At 44.7% G+C, this 24,749-nt stretch overlaps 1 protein-coding gene and 1 long non-coding RNA gene across 4 annotated transcripts in view, besides 1 other annotated feature; one reads left to right on the forward strand and one right to left on the reverse strand.

Moving 5' to 3' along the window:
* PAPPA-AS2 (PAPPA antisense RNA 2) overlaps positions 1-20,814 on the reverse strand; it is a 77,849-nt gene extending 57,035 nt beyond the window's left edge. The window contains exon 1 of the long non-coding RNA NR_170222.1: positions 20,735-20,814. This is a non-coding gene — a long non-coding RNA (PAPPA antisense RNA 2). The remainder of the gene's footprint in view (positions 1-20,734) is intronic.
* PAPPA (pappalysin 1) overlaps positions 1-24,749 on the forward strand; it is a 248,531-nt gene that overhangs the window by 189,072 nt on the left and 34,710 nt on the right. For all 3 annotated transcript variants that reach the window (NM_002581.5, XM_017014784.3, XM_006717129.4), the window contains 5 exons: positions 1,681-1,849; positions 4,164-4,347; positions 9,844-10,054; positions 10,760-10,931; positions 19,730-19,877. In NM_002581.5, coding sequence (NP_002572.2) covers positions 1,681-1,849; positions 4,164-4,347; positions 9,844-10,054; positions 10,760-10,931; positions 19,730-19,877 — 884 coding nt within the window. The remainder of the gene's footprint in view (positions 1-1,680; positions 1,850-4,163; positions 4,348-9,843; positions 10,055-10,759; positions 10,932-19,729; positions 19,878-24,749) is intronic.
* Positions 12,148-12,720: an enhancer, noted in NCBI's record as "OCT4-NANOG hESC enhancer chr9:119117289-119117861 (GRCh37/hg19 assembly coordinates)". NCBI's record gives its function as "activates a minimal SCP1, AML or CMV promoter by ChIP-STARR-seq in naive and primed H9 embryonic stem cells {active_cell/tissue: H9 hESC(naive and primed)}" and the evidence as "EXISTENCE:reporter gene assay evidence [ECO:0000049][PMID:30033119]".

The raw sequence follows: 24,749 nt of genomic DNA on the forward strand, positions 1-24,749 counted from the left end.
TTACTGTTAGGCAGAATCAACCTCTTTAAAGTGTTTAAGAGCTATTGCAAGGCATCATCACCATTGGTTTCCTGCCATTTAGGAAACATCTGCAAGGAATTTTTATTGGCACTGCAAAGTACACCAAGATGAAATAGGCATTTTCTCTGCCCTCAAGGACGTTCTAGTCCAGAAACATGGGACAAGGTTAACAACAAGGCCTTTGGAGTCACCCCTCTGGATGGGCACTTAAACAAGTAACCTAATCTTGCCAGTCCCCAATTTACCCAACTGTAAAATGAGTAACGCTTAGCTCATAGGGTTGTTGTAAGGATGGAGTGAGCTCATGTATATAAGCAATCAGCAAATAGTAACTAATGTTATTGAGTGCTTGCCTAACTATAATACAAGGGGAATGATCATCCAAGAATGAGGATTTCATGCTGTTTCTGTTTGCATCCTTAAAGATTAGCCTGCAATCTGTTATGTTCCACTGGCACTGAGGAACTGAGTTTTTAATACATCAAACATGAGGCAACAGCATTATAGAAAGAAGGGTAGAATACCCATGAGGGTGCTTGCCGAGGGACACAAGAGAAAGCTTCCTATGGAAATTTGCATGATGCTTAGACCTAAAGAACGGGTGGAATTCAGACTGGCAGAAAGGTAGAATTCAGAGTTGCAGCAAGATGCAAGACATAGTCTCTGTACAACTCCACTAATGATGTGTAAGTTATCTTACAGTTTATAAAAGACTTCTACCTCCATCACCTCAGTTGAGTCTCGTGGCTATATGAGGTTGGCCAAATTTAAGAGTATACCGAAGCTCAGAGATGTGATGTACTTTGCCAACTAGGTAATAGAGCATAGGTATATTTACAACATCAGCTACCACTTATTTTTATTTATTTATTTATTTATTTATTTATTTATTTAGAGATGGAGTTTCACTCTTGTTGCCCAGGCTGGAGTGCAATGGCGCAATCTCAGCTCACTGCAACCTCCACCTCCCAGGTTCAAGCTATTCTCCTGCCTCAACCTCCTGAGTAGCTGGGATTACAGGCGCCTGCCACCACGCCCAGCTAATTTTTTGTATTTTCTTTTTTAGCAGAGGTGGGGTTTTACCATGTTGGTCAGCCTGGTCTCAAACTCCTGACCTCGTGATCTGCCCATCTCAGGCTCCGAAAGTGCTGGGATTACAGGCATGAGCCACCGCGCCCAGCCCAGCTACCATTTACTGAGTGCTTAGTATATGCCAGGAGTTCTGCTATGCGTTTTTTTCTAAACTGATTTAATTCTCAAAATGATCCTTGTAAGTGGGTACTCACAAAATAGAAAAAGGCTTTTGCTCAACCTGGTGCCTGGTAGAAAAATGCAATAAATATTCACTGTAATCATGATGATCCCTTTCTCACAAATGGAAAAACTGAGGCTATTCAAGGTTTAAATCTTGATAACATACAAAGCTTTCAAGTGGCAAGATTTGAACTCTGGTTTGTCTGTTGCCATAACTTGTGCTCTTAATGAGAAACTTTAATCGCTGCCTCTAGAGTCATCTTCACCCTAGCCAGCACCCCTTTCTGTCCTCAGTCTCAAGCCCCCTGAAATCTTGGAGAAAGAGGCTCTTAGCCTTTATCTTCCAACTGAGCATAGCTGTCCTGTGAGGAGACTCCTTCTTCCCCTCGTTTCTTTCCTCCCCAGCTGCGTGCACTTCGCATGTGAGAAAACTGACTGTCCAGAGCTGGCTGTGGAGAATGCTTCTCTCAATTGCTCCAGCAGCGACCGCTACCACGGTGCCCAGTGTACTGTGAGCTGCCGGACAGGCTACGTGCTCCAGATACGGCGGGATGATGAGCTGATCAAGAGCCAGGTATGTGCAGGTGCTGAGCTCAGAGCCTCTCTGCAGCCCAGGGAAGGCTTACTGGGTGTTAACCATGTTCTCTGCTAAATACCCAGCAGCACTTAAAATAGTGCTGCCACATAGTAGGTGCTCAATAAATATTTATTGATTAAATGAATGCATGAATGAATCAATTAACCAAGCAAGCAGTCTGGAATCTCTAAGAAAAAGGGTTCCTGTGCAGAGTAGTGTTCCACACAATACTTACCAATGTTTTTGTGTAGGTTGCAAATCTCCAAGACCATGGGGCTGAGTATTTTGGAATGAATATCTTACAGTGAGAACATAATTGAATGGGCTGCTTTATGACAAGGTGAGCCCTCTGTCAATGAGATGCTCATTCATTCACTAATTCATTGCAAAGCATCTGTTCACTGGAAATTGGATGCTATAGTAAGTACTAAAGAAAAAGAAGCCATTAAGACAAATCGAGTCCTTCTTCTGAAGGAGCTTAGTGCCTAGTGGTGGAGGAAGAGTCAGACAACTCATTAATGATGACCCCACTGTGTGATAAATGCTGTCAAGGGAATTGTAGGGTGTTGTGGAGGCACAGAGAGATTCAAGGGAGGTGCCTTGGAAAAGTGACATGGAAACAGCTAACTAGACAGATCAGCAAAGGGGTGTGTGTTGGGGAGAAGGAAGAAATATATGTAGTAGGCACAGGCATGGATAGTATGTGGAAGCACATTGATGAGAAAAAAAAAAAAAAAAACATGCCACAGATTTTTTTGTTTGTTTGTTTTCTTTTTCTGTACTCACCCAAGCAATGAGGCTGGAAGGGCCAGCTGAATCCACTGGTGCAGGGCCTGTTGATTTAGTCAGGAAGTGTGGGGTTGATCTTCAGGACAACAGGGAGCTGTTGCAGGAAATGACATGGTCAGATCCTGGTTGACAAAGTCTCTTCTAGATACTCCATGTGGGTGTAGCTTGGAGTCTAGCAGTAAGACTGGTAGCAGGGAGACCCCCTCCCTCAGACAGTCATCAAAGGAGTCATGGAAGATAGGACGTGTCCTGCGTGAGATTGGTGGTAGTGAATGATTTGGAGTGATGTGACAGAATGTTGCTTCAGCAAGATGGTGCTGTAATGTCCCAGGTGGGGCTTGGGGGAGTGGGACAGGTTGTCCTGGGATTTGAGGATTTCTGTCACTAAATGTAGCATTTTCCAGGGCTGGTCAGTGGACTTTGCCTTCAAACTGCAAGCACACAGGGCACATTCCTTACTGCTGGGAATGCCTATTTGTACAGAACTTCTGGACTTGCTCTTCTTAGACACCTACTTCCGTGTGTCAGACTTGGCAGGCCTGAACTCCTGTAGAAACAATTAGACTGTTTTGGCAGTGAGGGACCTCACTCAAGCACACATCCCTTTGATGTGTGCTTAAGAGGGAAAATGTCCTTTGCTTTTAAAATCCCAGATCAACGTTTGGCATCTCCAGTCCCTAGGATTTAGCGGCTTCCTCCTTGAATGAAAGCCTCCAGGCTGCAATGATTGTCCATCCCTTGACTCCGTAGCATGGTCTTGCCCTCCACCCAGCTCCACCATCGTGTAGTTTGGTTCAAATCTCCATTTACTCTTTCATTTTTCCTAGGCTTTTTTTTGTCTTTGTACCCTTCTCTCTTGACTATTGAGCCGCCAAATCTGAGAGTAGGGAGTGGATCTTTGAGCAGTTCATGAGTTCAATCCATCCATTTTGCCAAAGGGAGAACTCAAGTAAGGAAAAGGGACTTGCCTGTGGTCTCATAACATGGAGGAAAAACATGGAGGTCTCCTATAGCCATGGAGAGTGCCTACTGTGTGCCAAACACTACAACAAGTTCCTAGTAACTCCTCTAGAGCTAATAAAAGACATACAAATCAACACTTGATGTCCTACCATTGAACTGTATTTCACAGTCTGTTTTGTGAAAGAAGTCATCATGCCCTGTGAGGTCTCAAAACCTCAAGATTCTCATCAATAAAATGGAAATCGTGATCTGGGAGGCACTATAGACAGCAGTTAAGAGCATAGCCTTTGGACTCAAGTCCAACTTATCCTTTTCCCAGCTGGTTAACTTAAGGCTGATCATGTAATGTCTCTGAGTCTCAGTCTCTGTGTCTTTGAGATCTGAAATATGTAATTCATGGAGTTATTGGGATCATTAAAAGTGAGCTAACGTTAAACACTAAGCATTGGTCTCCTAGTGCCTGGGCGAGACTCTGAGCCGTCACCTTGGGAAGAAGGGTATTTCTCCACATCTAGAGCTCAGTCTGCCACTCCTCACTATGCACGACTCTGCCTTTCAGACGGGACCCAGCGTCACAGTGACCTGTACAGAGGGCAAGTGGAATAAGCAGGTGGCCTGTGAGCCAGTCGACTGCAGCATCCCAGATCACCATCAAGTCTATGCTGCCTCCTTCTCCTGCCCTGAGGGCACCACCTTTGGCAGTCAATGTTCCTTCCAGTGCCGTCACCCTGCACAATTGAAAGGTATCAAGAACGCCTTCCCCAGCTCAGCCTTCCTTTGTCTATGGGAAACCTAGAAGCTGCATCCAGGCCCTCTTTCTGGGTCTCAAACACCAAGGGTGGGATGGGTTTTATCTATGCTCCTGACTTCTTCCTACTAATTGTATTTATGTAAACTGCCCTGCTATGCAGATAAGAAAGAAAAAAGAGTGTATGGATAATTATGACAGTGAAGCCCTTTCCAAGACCTTGGAAATCTTGCAAAAAAGAAAAGAAAGAGAGGATAAAAGTGAAGAAGGGAGGGAAGAAGGAAGAGAGAAAAAGAAAAAAAAGTTACATTTGGGACTGATGAAACTAATTCACTCTGTATGATTAGGGCCAGTAAGCCTTATGAGGTAAGCGTTACTATTATTCCCATTTCACAGATGAGGAAACCAAGCCTCAGAGGGTTTAAAGAACTTGCCCAAGGCTGCACCATCAGTGGTGGGGACCATATTGAAACCCAGGTCTGTTGTTCTCCAATGCTGGCTGCCACTCATTAAGAGGGGCCAGCTGGGCAGAGAAGAGCAGATATGGACAGGAAGCATCTGGCATCCTCCTGAGCTAGGCACCAGGGCTATTGAGGGGAAAAAGACACTGGCATACCAGAGAAGAGGTCACATTTTAGAAAAAAGTGAGTAGCTGGCCTGGGTGTCCTAGAATGCTGGGACTAGATGTGGAATGTGTTAATAACTCCAGACTAGGAAATCATACTTCTCTCAATCAATCAGAGGCTTTTGGGAAAGGGAGGTGTATAAATTAACATTGATTATTACAGACCTCATTGTGGCTAATAATAATACTTAATCAAAATGATGCAGATCCTTCCACTGCCAACTGTTGTTGGGGAAGTGTGACCTGGCTGGGGAGACAAGGCCTTAGGAGGACCATCATTTTGACAGTTGGTGATCCCAACTTTGCTTTTCCTTTGACCATACAGGGAAATATCTCTCTATTTCCATATTGATCAACTAGGACCAATTGCCACTTCATGCAACTTGGTTGTCAGCATCATCTAGTGTTCAGAGTACTGTGCTGAGGCTTCTGCTTGGATCTACTGGCAGCAAGGACTGGGCAAAGGTCCTGCTGCCTTTCTCTTGAACTTGATATTGCCACCTAATTTGCCCTCCCACCCTCATCTCAAGCCAGGGGGTAAAGAGGTGATCAATTTCAACTTTCCTTCTTTTACTTGCTTCCCTTTTCTCCTTTCTACCTTTTGTTTTTCCTTTGATCATAACATAGTTTAAGCAAAAAGGACAACAGTTTTTTTAAAAAAAACTTTTATTTTAAGCTCAGGAGGACATGTGCAGGTTTGTTATATAGGTAAATTTGTGTCATGGAGGTTCATTGTACAGATTATTTTATCACCCAGTTATGAAGCCTGCCTTAATACCCTTTAGCCATTTTTCCTGATCTCCTACCTCCTCCCATCCTCTTCCCTGTGATAGGCCCCAGTGTTAGTTGTTCTCCTCTATGTGTCCATGTGTTCTCATTATTTAGCTCTCATTTATAAGTGAGAAGATGCAGTATTTGTTTTTTTGTTCCTGCATTAGTTTGCTAAGGATGATGGCCTCCAGTTCCATCCATGTTCCTGCAAAGGATATGATCTCATTCTTTTTTATGGCCACATAGTATTTCATGGTGTATATGTACCACATTTTCTTTATTCAGTCTATCATTGATAGGCATTTAGGTTGATTCCATGTCTTTACTATTGGAAATAGTAAAAGCACTAATTTTAAACAGGCAATAAATAATAATGATAATAATGACCAGCTTGAAATCCTTTCTGCCCTCAGTTTTTGCCCCACCTGGCCCTCTCCTCTATTTGTACCTCTTGTCCTTCTTAATCTGTCTTCTTCCTCTGTACTTCCGTTAAAGTCTACCCCTTACCAAGTCTACCCCCCTGCTCCTTGCAATCCCCCCGTACCAGCCCTTGGCTAATGCAGCCAGTTGATTGAGTGATTGTCCTTATTCCAGTCCAGCTAGTGCATTTTTGTTTCCTCCAAACAATATAGTGGCCAATATTCTTTCACATTCTAACATGCTAGAGATGGACAAGAACTCAGAGACAGCTTTGGTTTAGGGACAAACAAGTTAGGTGATTTGTTCAAGGTCACAGATAAATTCATACTTTATGCATTCAACAAATGGATACCGAGGACCTACTATTCGCTCAGCAGTAGGCTAGGCTCTGGGAGTAACGAATATACAAGATACAGCCCTTGCCTTAGGATCTAGAAAGTGCCAACACCATGAGGCAAGTGCTTAGAATACCAGATTGAAGGTCTAGTATTTCTCTCCTTGAGTTCTGTTCTATGTTAATTTTAATCTTTACAGCACTCCCAAAGAGACTTGATCTCCTGGGTAATCTTTTAAATGAAGTAATAAAAATAAGTACCTCTCCTTTGACACTGCTACAAGTTGACAATTGTTTTAATGCTCATTAGAGATTGGAATTTCCTTACCCACATTTGTAGACAGGCTGGGCAGGATGTATTTTTCTGCATTAAAAGATGAACAAGTGAACTTACAGGGTCCCAAAACTTGACGGACCCAAAACTTGATGGAATCTAATCTCTAATATCAACACCTCTATGAAGAGACGTTACCCTCTACCAGGAACTTCAGGCTCAGACATGCCTTCACTTCGTGTCTTGAGTCATGTTCCCCCAGGAAATACGGTGGGGGAATGAGGACAGGAGACATGGAACTGACAAAAGTCAACAGGCTCTCTTCTAAAGCAAGTTGCCACTGTGGGCAACTAGAGCTCAGTCCCTCTGGGAAACTCTGGGAGACGGTGGAGAACATGCCTCCGAGTTATTGCAACTCTGGAAACTGGCACATGAATCCAACAACTCCACCATTAGTTTAGTGGTGCTTCCAGGGGCATTAACTCCTTGGTACTTTAAACTCACCCTGCATATGGACAGAGTAAGCATCAATGACCAGTATAATAAGCATCCATGAGCAGTATAATAGCCCTCAGGCAGAGAGTTGGCAGTGCAGTAAGCATCTTTCACAGTATACAGGCCAGTGCCAAGAAGACAAACGAAGGGCACATCATGTATCATACCCTACTTTCTTCAAAGCCACATTGTAGATGCAGGGTAGTGGCTACAGCTGGTGCACAGAAATACTGCCCAGTTGAAAACTCTCTTGGAGTTTGTTGCAGGGGTGGGGGGACATATCCATGGTCCTGAATCACCAGTGCCTGCTTTAGCTGTGGTGCACTGCTAACTTCTATTCACCCTCTTCCAGAAAGCACATTTCTGGTTTGCATTTTCTCTCTTGATTAACATTTTGGAAACTTTATGTTCTCTTGTCACAGAAAACCACGACTTTCACTTCATAATTTACCATATACATAGCTAATACAATGTACTTTTTAAGAGTCCCAACACCTTTTCCACAGATATGTTATCTCTCTTAGGCAATTTGGAGAGGGTGTGCTTCCTGTACTTTATATACAGCTCCCCTTCCCACTAACCTTGTGCATTAGCTGGGCACCCCAAAGCAATGACTGCCCCGATTACAAGGGCAATGCAAAAAGAAGTTTGTAGACACTGACTGGTATTCTGGACGCTTCTATGCTTCTATGGAAACCAAATGAATCACCTTTCTGCACACTTTACTCTTTTTACTTGATGTTAAAATATATATAGTTGTCAGTCTCACAGTTTGTCAATGTGGAATCCCCTATGGGGTTTACAGACACCAATCTGCCTTGTGCTAACCAGATGAATCATACTGACAAAGAAGAAAAATGAAAAAAATGAGAAGGAATAAGATAAGTGGAGGAGCGTACATAAAATTGCAAAGTACTTTCTCCCCTTTCTTCCTTTTCCTGCTTTTTCTTATAGTACTTGGCACCTTCTGGCACACTAAATAATATACTTTTTAGGATAATTTATTGTACTCCTCCCTGTCCCACTAGATTATAAGCATCAAGAGAACAGAGCTATTTCTATCTTGTTTTGTTTTATTTTGTTCACTGCTTTGCCTTCAACATATAAAAGTATCTGGTGCAGAATAAGCACTAAATAGATATTTGTTGAATGAATGAAGACTTCTGTGAAGATTCTTTCAGAGCTACTAATGAAGATGAAAAGAAGAAGGAAAGTGGGAGGAAGCAGGGAAGTGAAGAAAGGAAAGGAGGGAAGAAGGAAAGAAGTTAAGAAGCAAACGAAGACATTGACAACACTTTTATAGGCACTTTTCATAAATGTTGTTTTATTTCATCTTCTCAGCACCCTGAAAGGCAGAAGCAATTGTTTGCTTTCCACAGATAGAAAAATTGAGATTTGATGGCTCCGGAATGAATAATAAGGGCCCTGCTGATCATACGTAGTAGCCAACTTCCCATTAAAAACAACCATCTCTGTAGTTAGACAGAATTTGTTTTGAACCTCAGTTTTGTCTTTTGCCAACTATGATAACTTGGTCAAGTCACCTCTTTCTGAGTCTTCATTTCCAAATAAAGACTGTCATACTAAATGCACTGTTTATAGTGAGAATAAATGAGATTGCATATCAGAAGCACTCGGTACATAGTAACTGCCCAGTAGATGTCAGTTTTCTCCCTACCACTCCACCTCTCCAACCTGCAAGTCCCCGAGCCCCCGACATGTTTCCAGCCCTGATTGTCAACACCATTCAGTAATAACCAGGAAAAGGAGAGTTTGGTGGAGAAACACAAGTTTCAGGTCCTCCTCTAGTTGTCTTGGGAAGGTTTTAGGCGGGCTGTGCCTCGATAATATATGAGCTGGCAGTGAAAAGCCTAACTCCCGTGTTTTACTTTTATTTGCAACGTTCCCCATCAGACCAGCTTCCCAATGGCAGTCAGCACTCTGTCAGAGCTGGCATGGGCTACGGGGGAAGTGCTGCTCTTTCACCTGCTTTGGCAAAGCTTCACTGAGCACCAGGACCTGAACAGAAAATCAAATCTCCTAACACAATGCTGTCACTTCCAGGCATTGGTGGTGGGAGCTGGGGGAGGTGGTAGGCAGGACAGATACAGGGGTGCTGGGCCCAGGGGGAGAGTGGCAGCTTGAGGTCATGCACTCACTGATATCAGAATTTGCTGTAGTTTCTGGTGGGAGTTTTTGCTGCCAAGTATTAGAAGGCAAGTGCCTCCATCTCTGTGCTCAGATGCCCATTTGTAAAGTAAGAAAAATGGATTCAAGGATTGTGAGTGTGTCTTTTCTATGCAGCAGAAGAGGCTCAGGATCAGAAGTCAGAAGCCTTGGATTTTAATTCACTGTAGACATGGGGGTAATTCACTCCCCCCATTTAGATCTCCTCTTCTTTGTGGCAGCTCTCTTGATTTCCCTAGGCTCCTCAGTTGGAAGTAGAAGGGGTTGGAATTCCACATAAGGGATCTCCTGGTTCTTCAAGTCAGCTAAAATCCAAGTAGCTATACATTAGCTTGGCTATCAGAGACTCCTCCCTCCTCTAACCCTGCTTGCCTATGTCTTCCAGGCAACAACAGCCTCCTGACCTGCATGGAGGATGGGCTGTGGTCCTTCCCAGAGGCCCTGTGTGAGCTCATGTGCCTCGCTCCACCCCCTGTGCCCAATGCAGACCTCCAGACCGCCCGGTGCCGAGAGAATAAGCACAAGGTGGGCTCCTTCTGCAAATACAAATGCAAGCCTGGATACCATGTGCCTGGATCCTCTCGGAAGTCAAAGAAGTAAGTGGGGTTGGAAATGCAAACTTATGGTCTCTGGGAGGACAAGAGTTAGGTTCAAATGCCTGACTGGACGGAAGCACTCATTTCTTCACTGGAGGTAATGACTGCCATTCATCCCATTCTGTTCTGTGAGAAGCTAGAAGGATTTGTTAATAATATTAGCTTTGGGTCAAACAGAACAAACTTTAAGTTTCAGCTTGGCTGCCTAATGGCAATGTGATCTCAGACAAATGACTTTACTTCTCTGCACTTCATTTTTTTTTTAAGCCACAAGAGGGGTATGATAATAACAGTTACCACGTAAGGTTGTTATGAAGAACAAATGAAGATGTGCATGTAAAGTGCTCACAAAATGCTTTGCACGTAGTAGTTGTTCAGTAAATGGTGGGTAATCATAACATGATGGTTCCAACACACATCAGAACACTCTGCAAAAAAGGGGAGAGAACCTGGGGCTGAAGGGCATGAGTTTTGTCTCAATCTACATGTAGCTGGAAGCATGACATTTCTGCCTGCTCTTGCTAAAGGAGTTCTGTGGATGAATTATCCTTAATTCCTGCACGGGTCCCACCAGAACCCAATAGGTCAGGTGGGGAATCAAAACTAGGAAATAGGAAATGGGGGCCCAGCTGGTGGTGTTCATGCAGGGCATGGATCTAGCCATTTGGTCCTTGAGATGTCTCCTGTTTGATCCTTTCCTTGAAGACGGGCCTTCAAGACTCAGTGTACCCAGGATGGCAGCTGGCAGGAGGGAGCTTGTGTTCCTGTGACCTGTGACCCACCTCCACCAAAATTCCATGGGCTCTACCAGTGTACTAATGGCTTCCAGTTCAACAGTGAGTGTAGGATCAAGTGTGAAGACAGTGATGCCTCCCAGGTAAGCCTCCTGGAACTTGAGATTGATACCATGGTCCCTTTCCTTTCTGCTTACCAAAAACTAGCCTGTACTTCAGGAACCACTTTCTGCACTTTTGTAATCTCTGATCCTCATTTTCCTACCCGCAATACTGTTTTTGATTTGCTCAGAGATTCTTAGCTTTGAATTTTTTTTTAAGCATTGGAACTTTTATGAAGGAAATCATACATGGAATCCCAATGTATGAAGTTGATAAAAGTTAAGTTCCTCAAACAGGAAATGACCAGGGCTCTTTTCCCAGTTTGCTACCTCCATTACCACCCATGTTGGTCCTTGAAGTATTTAAAATCACAAGACTGCAACTATATTTAGACATCAATTGGCTCCTGAAGCATAAGGAAAAAGGGGACCATATTTAGATGAGAAGTACAGTTTTGAGAACACCATGGAAGAAAGGAAGAGCAGAAGGAGCAAGGTTTGAATTTTATCTCAATCCACATGTAACTGAGAACAAGTCCAACACTCCTGCCTGCCTCTGCTGAAGGAATTTTCTTCAAATCCTACACATGCCCAAAAGGATGGTACGGGAATCAAGAATAGGAAAAAGGAACAAAAGGCTGAAAAAACCTTAAGTCCACAAGGAGCTCCATCTCCATCAAAGCAACCATGCAGAGTTGATAACCCAAGTCCTGTGTTTCACAGGTGTGCAAGGATCATCAGCCAGGTGGGGATAGATTTCAGTGCAGGCGTCGTCTTCAATCAGTCTTTATTGGTCTTTATTGTTAGCCTCCAGATACCAGGCACTGCCAAATCACCATTCTGAATCCCTCTCACTCCCTCCATATCCAAGCAATTACTGAGTCATACCCATTCTCCCACAACAGCATCTCCTGAAGCTGTTCTCTTTTGTCCCCAATGCCACTACCCTCACTCAGGCCAACATCAACTCTTTGATGAGCCACCATGCAGCTTCGTGATCATTTTCCTGTTTTAATTCCTGTGCCTCTTTCCAGTACATTCTTCACATTTCAGCCAGAGTGATTTGAGCAATTATGTCAATCTCTCTGAACCAGGAGCCCCCGTCCCTTAGGATAAAGTCCCAACTCCTTAGGGTGACATTTAAGACCCTTCCCCCATGCCAATAAGATGGATTTTCCCCCCACACCTCTGCATTCTCTACCTTAAAAAGAGTTATCCTTGTACCTTTTTCAGCTGTCTGACACCTCATCTTCCTTCGCAATTTAGCCCAGGCACCCTTTCCTGCAGGAGCCCTTCCTCAATATCCCTTCCACTGCCGGGCTCCGTGCCCCTCCTCAGGTTCCCCCTTCACAACATTGGCCACACTGCGTTGTCACTGCCTGCTTTCATTCCACATCCCCACACTAGGCTGTGAAACAGTCCTTCACTGCATCTGCACCCTTCCCTGTGCCTCTCAGCACTTAGGACAGTGCCAGGCACCTAGTAGGTACTCAGGAAATGTCACAGGAATTAAGGGCAGGAGGAAGGACTGCAATGAACATCAAAGGCAGGTTCCTCCTTTTACAGATGAGAAAACCAAGACTCAAAGAGGTTACTCAACCCCCCATGGTGACACAGCTGGCATCGGCTGAGTCACAGTCAGAATCCAGGTTCCCCTGTCTCCAGCTGTAAATGGGCTGAGTCCAGTAGGCACCACCTGAGAATCCTGTTCTCATACACTCTCGGCGTCTGTTTGCATTCATGGGAGTCATTCCCATCCTTGACTGCCAGGGAGGCAGAAGCCAGTACCGGAACAAACAAAGGCTAGAGATTACCACGGCCTCTTGCAGGCTGATCAGCTTCCCCCTCACTCCCTTACATAAAACTGTTGCTAACAGTTACCCAAACTGCTGAGCCAAATAATATTCTGGCTGCGGTCATGTTATCAAACTGAAACTCAGCCTGCCTGGGGCCTTCCAAGTAACTTTCATGGCCAGTTTGTATTTAAAGGAGAGGAAAGTGTAAATGTATCAGACGACTCAAGCAGCTCTGTTTGGCAACTAACGGAGAGGCTAGTCGCAAAGGAGCAGGGTATTGCTTGTCTGCTCAAAGAATGAGGGTGTGCGTGCCAAATGGACTCCTAATACAATTGACGTTTCTACTTTGTACTGAAAATGAATTTCCTCTACCCTCAGATCAGGGCCTGAGAGCCAAATCTAGTATTCACCTCAGATTCCCTCTTGCTGCCTATAAACATAGCAGAAATGCATGGCCCAGAGCATCTTGAATCAGCTTGTATGGAGCAGGGATTCTTTGCTTTCCAAACAAGTTTCAGATCCTGGCGGGAAAGGATAGGGGCTGTTGTAGGGGAGAGTCACACACTCTCTTCCACTGCCACTAAAAGCAAATAAAAACCTGACTTTATTCATTCCTTGGGAGCCAGTATGACACTGGATCTGTAGTTTGAGTTCAAATCCCAGCTTTATTACCTAGTCACTAGAGGCCAAGTTACTTAACTCGTTAAGCTTCACTTTTCTTGTGTATAAAATGAGGAGAAAGAATACTACATACCTAATAGTTTGTTTGTGAAGGTTAAATGAGGTAATGAAAATAGAGCATGTCTATGGGTACCCACTGGCCTTGTGCAGTGCACAACCTGTGCAATCATATGTGGTAGCCCTGGGGAATACACAAATGAACTAGCCTGCTTTAAGGTCACTCCAGTGGCGAGAATCCCTTATGCTCTATGTGAGCTCCTGGAGGGTCTAGAAACACAACAGATTGCAACCTAGCCCTCTGCTGGCTAGCTCTAAAAACTGAGAAGTTTTCTGTTTTCTGCATATGGCTAGCCAGTTTTCCCAGCACCATTTATTAAATAGGGAATCTTTTCCCCATTTCTTGTTTTTGTCAGATTTGTCAAAGATCAGATGGTTGTACATGTGTGGTGTTATATCTGAGGACTCTGTTCTGTTCCATTGGTCTATATATCTGTTTTGGTACCAGTACCATGCTGTTTTGGTTTCTGTAGCCTTGTAGTGTAGTTTTAAGTCAGGTAGTGGAATGCCTCCAGCTGTGTTCTTTTTGCTTAGGATTGTCTTGGCTATATGGGCTCTTTTTGGCTTAAAACCTAGATGACAGTTTGATAGGTGCAGCAAACCACCATGGCACCTGTATACCCATGTAACAAACCTGCACGTTCTGCACATGTATCCCAGAACTTAAAGTAAACAAAGCAAAATAAAAACAAAACCTGAGAAGGAGGCACCCATCCTGCATGAGGCCAGGATGTGGAGTAGAGAGACCAGCATGAGCTTTAGTCAAACCTGGTCCCTTGCTCAAATAAACCTGTAGAATAAATAGTCCTCTAGTTCCTGTAGACCAGCACTTTCCAGTAGAACTTTCTGCCATGATAAAAATATTCATATCTGTGCCAGGCAAATGATGACCACTAGCTGAATGTAGCTATGGAGCACTTGAAACATGGTTGCAGCAAATGAGCAACAAAATGTTAACTTTTATTTAATTTGAAGTAATTCAAAGTTGAAGGCAAATAGCCATACTTATACAGTGGCTACCATATCAGATAGTCCAGCTCTAGCACTTACGGTATTCTCGTCTCTTTAAACCATGACAGAGAACCTTAATAATAACAGCTTTCTTTGTCTTTGTTTTTGAGTGTCAAATGTGTGCCAAGCTGCTGCTGCAGACTTGCTCTCTTTTGACAGCTCACAACATACAGCTGGAAAAGAAACAAAATCCCCATTTTACAGATGCAGAAAGAAGGCCCGGGGAGGGTAAGTTCTTGCCCATGGTGACAAGAGAGCAGGTGATGTTCTTTCTGATCTCTAGCTCTGCTCTTTCCACTGCTCCCAAACATCTTCAGGCCAGACCAGTAGTGAAGGGCAGAGATTTTATCCCCAGGGGGTGAGAAGCTACTCATCTCAGGATTTAATCCAGCTCAGATGGCCCTGAGCTAGTTGATGAGATAACATAGGCCTGTGGGGGCTTTATAGGTGAGTCAGGGAGTGGCCAGTCTTGGGATGGGGACGGGGTCTTTGGAAGATGCATCAGCAGGGGAGGACAAAAGCTAGAGGTGCTTTGTGGGCAAAGTGATGCACCTAATGATGGATTTCAGCAACTCAGCAGGAGCAAGAGAGAAAGGGAGCGGTGGAATCTTCAACACACCCAGCTCATTGCACAGATCACAGAAGGTGGCTGTGAAAGCCTTTCTGCCATAAGGGGTGTAGAGCTGCACTCTCCATTTGTGAGCCCTGCCATGGACAAGGTACAGCTCACATATGTGCAGTGCCTCAGCTAGGTTTTCATTTCCGGGTTGTTAAATGTTTGGCCAAGCACCCAGGATGTCCTAGAGGAATTCAGAAGAGTCACAGACCCATGTGATGTTAGAGCTAGGCAGGACCTCAGAGACCCCCACTGTAGCTTGCTTGTTTTACTGATGGGAGCCCTAAACCCCAGAAAGGGAAAGAGACTTATCCTGAGTCATACAAGCAGAGCCAGTTCTTAAACTACGTCACTTTGCAATTCACACTTTCCACTCATCCTCCCTTGTGGGGCAACATGTCACCCCTGTACCAACCTTGGAAGACACAAAATGCATGTGAGGGCATTGACTGGGAACAGAGACAAATGATTCACAGCAGTTGAAATAATGAGCACTTACTACATGCCAGCCACTGAGATGAGCACGTTAGATTGATTGCTTCATTTAAGCCCCATGGCATCTGGCATTATTGCCCCATTTTACAGATGGGGAAGCTGGTGTAAACTGGTTTGCCCTGTTTTATACAACCAGACATGGTGGAACTGACACTCTTGTTTTTAAGTCAGCATGCCTCCAAAGCTTAGCCATCTAGCTCCTGCACTCACTGCCTGGTTTTGTCTTGCTCGGATGCCACTACATTTCTTTCCGCTATTATTTTGTTTATTTTCATGTCTTCTAAGGAGAAGAAGTCTACTGCTTCTCCCTCTTCCTTCCTCTTCTCTTCTTTCCCTTCATCCCACTGGGGTACAACAGCTTACAGTCAAGAGACATGGTTCTGACATTGGCAACCTTTGTGACTTGGGCACATTGCCTCCCCTTTCTGGCTGCTGTCAGTTCCAAAATGTACTGTTGGTTGGGTTGATTCTAAACTTCTCTTAGAGACAGTACAGCAAAGTGAGTAAGAACCTCATCTGACGATTACAGAGCTCAGTATGTGTTAGGCTTTAAATGCTTTATATAATTGGACTCACATGATCCTCATGATCACTCTCTCAGGTAGTAGACTCCATGCCCATTTAGCAGTCAGGGAACTTGAGGCATAGAGAAGTTAAAGAGCATCCCCAAATCTACCCAGCTGGGAAGTTGCCAAGCTTGCATTTGAATTCAGGCAGTTTGACTTACACCCAGGCTCTTAACCATGACACTAGCATCATTTGAAAACTCACTTTTTCACTTTCTAACAGAGTCAGTTTCCAAGTCTGCAAAAATAATATAATTTCTACTCTACTGTATTGTTCAAGTGATTTTTAAAGCACTGGGCATGTTATAGGTGTTTGATAATATTATTATATGCCTTCAGCTCTCCGTGGATCTGTGTAGCTAAAGCAGCAGGGGAGTTAGAGCTCAATATGCGCTTGTAAAAACAGATGCACAGGCACAGAGAGGCAAACTGTTTTGCTGAGAGATTTTCAGCCCTCTTATAAGAGATTTCACCTTAGCATGAAGAATTGTACAACTGGAGTCAAACATACCCAGTCAGTTCCCTGACAACACCTAGAAAAAGTACCCTCTGGTCTTCCCAGGTTGGAGCTTCAGTGATGCCAGATCTTCTCTGGTCAAACCAGACTCAGTCAGCAATAATTGACTATGAATTTCTGCACCAGGTGGTAGGCAATTTCTGAATGCACTAGCATCTAGTCTTAAAGAAGGATTTAAAAATCCAAAGAGGCTCCAGAAAGTCTGCATGCAGAGGGCACAGCAAGGGCAAAGATGTGGAGGTGGGAAAGCAAGAAAAGTTTGCAGGAGAAACAAAGTGATTCATTTGTCTAGCAGGAAGGATACATACATAGCAAGAGATGGAGCTAGAAATGTCATCTGGATTCCATTGTAGAAGCCCTGAAGTGCCAACCTACCAGTATGCCTTGTTCTGAAGGCTAAAGTGTCTTAGCAAAAGGATGCTATATATTTTTAAAAGCAAATTTTGCAACACAAAGTGCCAGATGAACTGGGCAGGAGAGAGATAAACCAATGATAACAAAACCAGTGCTTTATGCTCCCACCTTTCATTCATGGTGGGGCCTCCCCAGTGTGAAACTCCATGAGCAGACTCCGGCTACTTCTAATACATTCTCTGTTACAAACCAAGCTCTCCAGCCAGCCCTGGCCCAAGTAGTGCTGAGGTCTGCAGCCCTTTAGGGGTTGGAATCCAAATGCATCACAGGCCCAGGCCAAGGCTCCAGGAAATTGGGGTCAATTTCCTACTCCCCAGAGGGCCCAGGAGAATCATGGGGCCTAGAGCCTGGGGCTCTGAGAAGGAGAGTCTGGGCTCTTTGAAGCCACATGAAGCTGCGTAAGTTTGCCACGAGCCCCTACAGAACCTCTGGGAGTGAACTCTGCAAGCCGCCTTGCAGCTGCATGCTCAGGATGGGCCACCCTTCTCCCAAGGCCAGAGAGGTTTCCATTGCAATTGTACCCTCCTTTTGCCGGCAAAGGAGAGGCCTGGAAAGGGGCCCCTTTCTCTTCTGAATCTTGTCTATCTGCAGCTGTTTTCTCACATAGGGGAGCCTCAGCCTACATCAGTTCTTTTAAGGAGTTTATTCATTTTCTCATACATTCATTCATAATTTATTCCCTCATTCATTCTTTTCTTCATTTACTCACTTGTGCATTTATTTCCTCATCTGTGTGTTCATTTATTTTCTTATTTCTTAAAGAAATACATTCTATCACTCTCCACCAATTCACCCCATCTTTTCGTAAACAAACAATTCTTGAATGAGCAAAAATATCTATTAAGTGATGAATGAATGCACTGAGTGGCCTGGACCTTTTAGGCATTGTGGAAAACCCTGAGGATACAAGGTTGAATAGGGCACCAGCCTGGGCCTTGAGGAGCTCATTGTCTGGTTGCAAAACAGATGATAAACAAATAGGTAATGTCCTGTCAGAGACATTCAGGTAGTGCCCCATGCAGAATTGAGATGGCAGGAGAGCAGGATGGGTTGTGCCAGATAAGGTATTTGCAAGGTAGACAAGGGTGGGTAGGAAACAATAGCAGACAGAAGGAGCAGTGAGCATGAAAGCACAACATACGATGCCTTCACAAATGCAGGCAATTTAAACTGAAGTTCAAGGTTGGTGGTGGTGCTCTGGAGAGCAAGAAACTGGAGAATTAGGCAGAATTAAGGCTGGGAGGGCTCTGGAGCCAGCACAGGAGTTTGCATGGAAGCTGAAGGTCACAGGAAGCCATTGCATAAATTTTTGCATTGGTGGAGCACAGCCAGCTCCTCTGGCCTCATGTCAAGTTTCTCATCTTATTATAAGCCTGAAAGGGGTAGAGAATATATAGCTTGTTCTTAGATCCTTCACAATATGGGCCCCCTGCACAGAAACCACCTGTGATTCTCCATTTCTGTTCGGTAAAGTCTAAACTACTTAAGTTGGCATTTAAGGCTCCACGCTTTATCTGTGTTACCAGCTCATCTTCCCCTGCTTCATGCCTTGAGTCATAGAATTAGAACCACAACAGGCTCTCCAGCACACACGATATTTTTCATCATTTGCACACGCCCTTCCATCTTCCAGGAATATCTTCTGTTCCTTTTCTGCCTGCAATTCCATGCATCCTTGAAAACCCTTTTCCATATATCATCTCCTCTAAGAGGCCTTCCCTGATTGTCCCCTCATAACCAGTTACTCTTCCTTGTGTACTCACAGCACTGGTGTGATATTTGCCCTGCCTCACTGAACACAGTCACACTGACATGGCTGGTGGATCACATGACTGCCATTCCCACTAGATCGCAGAGGCAGGCACTGGCTCTCTTCACTTCTGCACCCCACAGAGCTGGGCACAGATTGGACACTAACGAATCTTACTTGAATTAGCTTTCTGAAATTCGGAGGTTGGAAGGGGACGTCAAGAAGGGATTATGTCTTCAAGCTGCATTTGCCTAATGCTTTGCAGAAGATTGAGAAACTATAATTCCCTATTTTAAAGAATTGGGAGGAAAGCACAGATATATAAGTATCCCCATATCACCCTCTTCATGCCATTATTGTTGGAATGGAATGAAATGGAATAGAATGGAATGGAATGAAAGAAAGAGAAGATGAGAAAAGGAAAAGAAATGTCTTGGAAAAAAAGCTTCTCAGCTAGACCCAGATTATTATTTATGACAGAGCCCTGACATAGGATACTTTCTCACTATTTAAGAGGAAGTAAACTTTAGTGTTCCTCATTAACCCATGCTGCTACTCTCTGTGTCATTCAAGGAGCTGATGGGCTCCTACCCTCTCAATTTAAAAAAAAAACTCCCACACACAAATCAAAACTATAATTGGCTCTGATTGAAATTTCTGAAAGACTACTAAGCTCGGACTTGGGAGTTTGGCATTCTGGAAAGCCTTGAACAAGTTTCTTCCTGGTCTGAGTCCTCAGTTTCCCCATATGTAAAATGGAGACACTAACAATACCCCTCTTTCAGGGTGGTTGAGTTTCAACCATTGTTAAGAAATTGTTTTGGAACACTTCAGAGCTCTGGAGAGATGAAAAATTCTTTTCTGTTGTATTCAGAATAGCTTATTCAATTGGGGCTGGTGTCTCTCTTGGTCCTAACTCTGTTTCTCTGTTGTTCAGGGACTTGGGAGCAATGTCATTCATTGCCGGAAAGATGGCACCTGGAACGGCTCCTTCCATGTCTGCCAGGAGATGCAAGGCCAGTGCTCGGTTCCAAACGAGCTCAACAGCAACCTCAAACTGCAGTGCCCTGATGGCTATGCCATAGGTATGATGGGCCCGAGAGGGGAGCAGTAGGAGGGGCAATTCCTTCCAGCAATGCAGGGCTAATGCCTGGGTGGGTCATTGAACACCCTGGCCACATGAGTTCCTGCGTAGGCACTACAGAAAGAGAGATGAATTAGTGTAGACCATGTCCTCCCAGAAAGAGGGTCAGGGACAGGGATATGGTGACACAATGGTGGGTGAGTGTGCACAGTTACAACAGAATACAGAAAAGCTGTCAGGTGCCTGGTGGGGACACAGAAGACTCCCACAGGAAGGGATGCTTACTTGGGGATTTGAAAAAGCTTGTCGGGGAAGAAATGCTATTGCAGGCAGAAGAAACTCTGTGGCTGAGGAGCAGGAGTTATGAAAGCACACATCACATTTAGGGAAGCAATAGCAGTCTGGTGCAGCTTCTTTTATTATTAATCTTGAAATTTGCATCATACTAAACATTCATGAGTACCTGATATAGTTCAGGCCCTTCATCAAGCACTTGAAAGGCATTATATCTTATCCTCACAATAACCTTTAACAGATGAGGGAATCAAAACTTGAGGGGATAATGGAACATGCTCCCAAATCCTGAGACCCATCCTATTCCAAAGTCTGACTTCTTTCCATGGCATCTCAGCTGCATCCAAGATGAGCATAAACTGCATTTTCAAAATACTCTTTGCATGGTGACAGGCCAGCTCGAGAAATACACACAGTGAGAAGAGACAAGCTGGGATTGTATGCCAGGGATTTGCCTCGTTGAAACCAGGTGTCTGGACACATGCATTAATCACCAGCACCACAGCTTTCCGGGGTACTCAGAGTGCATGGAGTGTGACCTCATTTAAGGGCAGTGATGCTGACCTTTTGGGCTGATTCCCTAATTGACCATGATGAAAAGCCTAGGGAACTGAACATCCTTTCTCCTGGCCAATATGATTTATAGAGCAATCACCAGGGGTGTCTGGTGTAGAAGGTTATCTGAATGTGCATAGAGCCAACATGATCTTCATCCAGCAAACAGAGAGTTATCACTGCATGTCCAGAAGCAAGGCCTGTGTGGTTGGAGAGGGAAGGTTCATGGGGACTGTCCATCCTTTTTTGAAGATGAAAACACATGCCCTCAGATAGCAGAAGTTCTTCACTGTAACTTACAGTGGGAATCAGCACTCTTGTGTTTAGCCCAGGACACTGGCTCCTGCATGGGTCAGAAAACACCAAAACACATGATTGCTCTCGCTGATGGTTTGGAAGGTACTTTAAGATCTTATACAGCCACCAATTCATGAGATGCTGACCAGGAGTGTTGCAGAGAGATGGGATCTTATAGGACCTGCTAATATAGGCATTCTAGAAGGTTGGGCAACAAGTATTGCCATGGTGAGCAGCATGGGCTGCACCATCCCAAGGCCAACACTTTCTCCTTTCCATCATTCCTGATAGGTGTGCGTGGTCCTGAACAAGTATGTCTGTGATGGGGTCCCAACCTCCAGCTCAATCAGAATATGCAAGTGAATATTCATTCATACTCTTAACTGGCATTGAGTGGCTCTGTGAGAAAAAGCCTAATTAAGTGACCTTTAGGGAAAACCTACAGAAACAAATTTGCTGCATATCTATACCCACTGACACATTCAAATACATTCACACGTGCATACATAAACGCATGCCACATGCTGAAATGCTTCATAAACAAACAGCCCCAAACACACACATCATATAGTAAGCTCATGCCTAACACCTACACATCAGCCAAATACCACACAAATGCATCACTCTCACAAACACATACACACACAGGTAGCACATAAACCTATACACAGCACTCACATGCAATACATACAAATCTCATACTTCAACAAACACAAACACATTTTATGTCCCAAAACATATCAAACACACAGAAAGACGCACAAAAGGCAAACAAACCTCACAGACGCATTTACATATTTTATTCAGATGTCTCAACTGTACGCAAATGAGTACGATACCTGGCTGTCTTCTCTCCATCAGAACAGTGGAGAAAGAGGGGAAGGGGTGGGAGGGTGGTATTTCTTTACCCACTGAGTGTTTTCATGGTCAAAGCAGAAAGGGAAAGAAATCTATATGATATTGCAGCCTGAATTAACTCCTTTCCTGTACCCCAAGTCCCCACGGCTGGCACCCAGATGTCCATCTTATAAATGTGATAATCCAGGGCAGATGATGAGTGCATAGGGACACTGGAGGAGATCAGAGAGAAAAAGCCACATAGGGAGACAGGAAGACTGAGGGTGAGAATGAGAAACAAGGCAGGAGAGCAGTTTTTGCTCATCCACTCCTCAGCCCCAGCTGTATCCTCGCTTTCCTCCAAATGCGCCTGACTTCCACCTCCCAGGCTGAGCCCTTCCCTGAGGAGAATCCACTTTGCCAAGGAGAGGGATTTGATCACTGGCCTTATAAGCAGGGGTGAGATATGTGTCGGGCTTGGGGGCTGGAGGGCACATTCTGGAGTCACCCAGACCAGCTCCCCCTGCGTGCCTCCCCCAGGCCACCTGGGGAGGCTTCTGTGGCAGTTATGAGCCCTCAGAAAGTTGCTGCTGCTGCCACCAGGGCTGCCACCCTCCCCGCGCCTCCCGGGAAGGAGACGCGGAGGCCTGGTGAGATCACCACTCTGTAAGGATGCCAATAATGGCTCATATATCACAACACAGCAGCCTGGTCCTAAAGCCCCAGAGCTGGGGTAGGGGAGGAGAGCCTGGGGGAGGGAGACGCGGAGAAAGAGAAATTAAGACATGACCGCTGCATAGGACAGCAAGTGTCTCCTGTTTTGACAACCGTTTTTTTTTTTTTTTCCTCTCTTGGGATAAGATAGCCTTTGTCTATTTCTCAGAGGCTGCATTTTTTTTTTTCAAAAGGATTTTATTATCACAGCCTTGTCTCATCTTTGCTCCCTAAAAACTCCTTTAGAACTGGTCTCATGATAAAGCACACTCCATAAGCAGTTTCTCTGACTGCTTAGGGATTTTTGCTCCTTATTCTCATCACTCATCATTTTTGTCTGTGTTATCCCCATTTCTTGTCTCTCCTCTGGCCTCTCACCATCTCTCCTGTTTCGATGGCTGCCTCCTTCTCTCCTCTCTCTGTGTGGCTGCACTGTTATCGATTGTGGGGCCTGGAATTAGAGATGTGGCTCTCTCCTCACCAGCTTTGTGCCCTGAGCTTTGTGCCTTTTGGCTCTCCAACCTGTGAAACGGGTGTCATGTACATATGTATATTTGGAAGGGGGCCTCTGAAATAGCTAATACATACATATGTATATTTGGAAGGGGGGACTTTAAAATAGCTAATAGAATAGGATATTTAAAGAAAAGAGTTGACTTGCTCCTAGTGTTTGGAGGGTGGTTTCGATACTAAGAGAAATGGCCTCTTTCAGGCCTAGTCAGATTCTGACAGGTTGTTTCTTTGCCCACATGAATAAATGCCTCTTTGGGGTACTGAGTACTTTCCATGGACTAGGCTTGATTTTTCAGATGACCTCAGGATGTGTGAGGTCAGGGTAGAGAATGAATGAGCTGAATTACAGTCAACTTGCCAACCCACAGCCTGGAAGTCAACTGTCTTCACCCAAAAGTTCCTGGACCAAGGGCTTCTATGTAGTAGCCCTATCTCTATTAGTCATTTACCCCTTCTTTGACTCATTACCTGATTTTTTTTATTCCTTTATCCATTTAATCCATAACTCACTCATTCACTTATCCATTTATGTACTTACTTCTTCCTTCATACGACACCTAAATGCATATTCATCAGTCAGTCATCATGCCATTCATTTATCCATTAATCCACTCATTTCCTGATCCATTGATGTACTTATTCACTCACTGTCTCTTGCACTCATTTTACAAATACTTATTGGGTGCCTATAATCTGCCATGCACAGTGCCAAGCTCTGGACATAGAATGGGGAGCATGGGTAGTGCTGGCCCTATAGAGTTACAGTCCAGCAGGGAAGAGAGCTATTGATATCACACTCACCAAGCAAACAGGAAATGATCATGTGACAATTCTGTCATGGGCACCTAGGAGGGGCTTGGCCTGTCAGGAAACCATGAAGGTCTTCTCTGAGCAAGTGGCTTGGGATTGAGGTCTGTAAGATCATTAAAAATGCACTTGTTGGAGTGGGAAGGGTCTTTAAGGCACAGGGAAAGGCAGGGATGAAACCCTGGGGCAAGAGAAGCTGGTATTGCATTTATGTGCTCATCATTCACTCGGCCAGTGCTCACTGAGCTCTACCTGGGTGTCACACGCTGGGTTAAACTCCGAGATGAATCAAGCACATCTGATGATGGAGTACTCTCACTCAGTTGTGGAATTCAGGGCAAACTTCTTAGAAGAATTGAACTGGCCCTTGAATAATGGATAGAATTCGGTTATGGGAAGGCAGATTGGGGGACATTTCAGGAGATGGGATGAACAAGAGAAGAAGCACAGAGGATGAGAATTGTGGGACTCAGATGGAAAACCAAGTGTAGTTCAGTCCGGTTGAACCAACCAAAGAGTGAAGGTGGTTAGTGAGAGAGGAGATTGACCAGACCGCAGGAGGCACTGAGTGCCCAGCAAAGGGGGCTGTATTTTGTTCTGGATGTGGGGAGCCTTGGAAAGGTGTTTGAGCAGAGGAGGAGCTTGATCAAACTAGGGTCAGAGCCAATGAGTGTGGCAGCAGGAACCAGTCAGATGGGAGGCATGTGAATGGAGTCAGGGAGAACAGAGGTGGCCCTGCCTGGCTTGCCTTCTCCTTCCCACTGCCTTCAGGTTGGGTAGCTGAGTCCACCAGGGACCAGGGAGTGGGAGGGCCCACTCTGCAGGAGGGCAGTTTGCAGATGTTGAGGGTCTCGGG

This window comes from Homo sapiens, chromosome 9, assembly GCF_000001405.40.
Source record: "Homo sapiens chromosome 9, GRCh38.p14 Primary Assembly".
Lineage (NCBI taxonomy): Eukaryota > Metazoa > Chordata > Mammalia > Primates > Hominidae > Homo > Homo sapiens.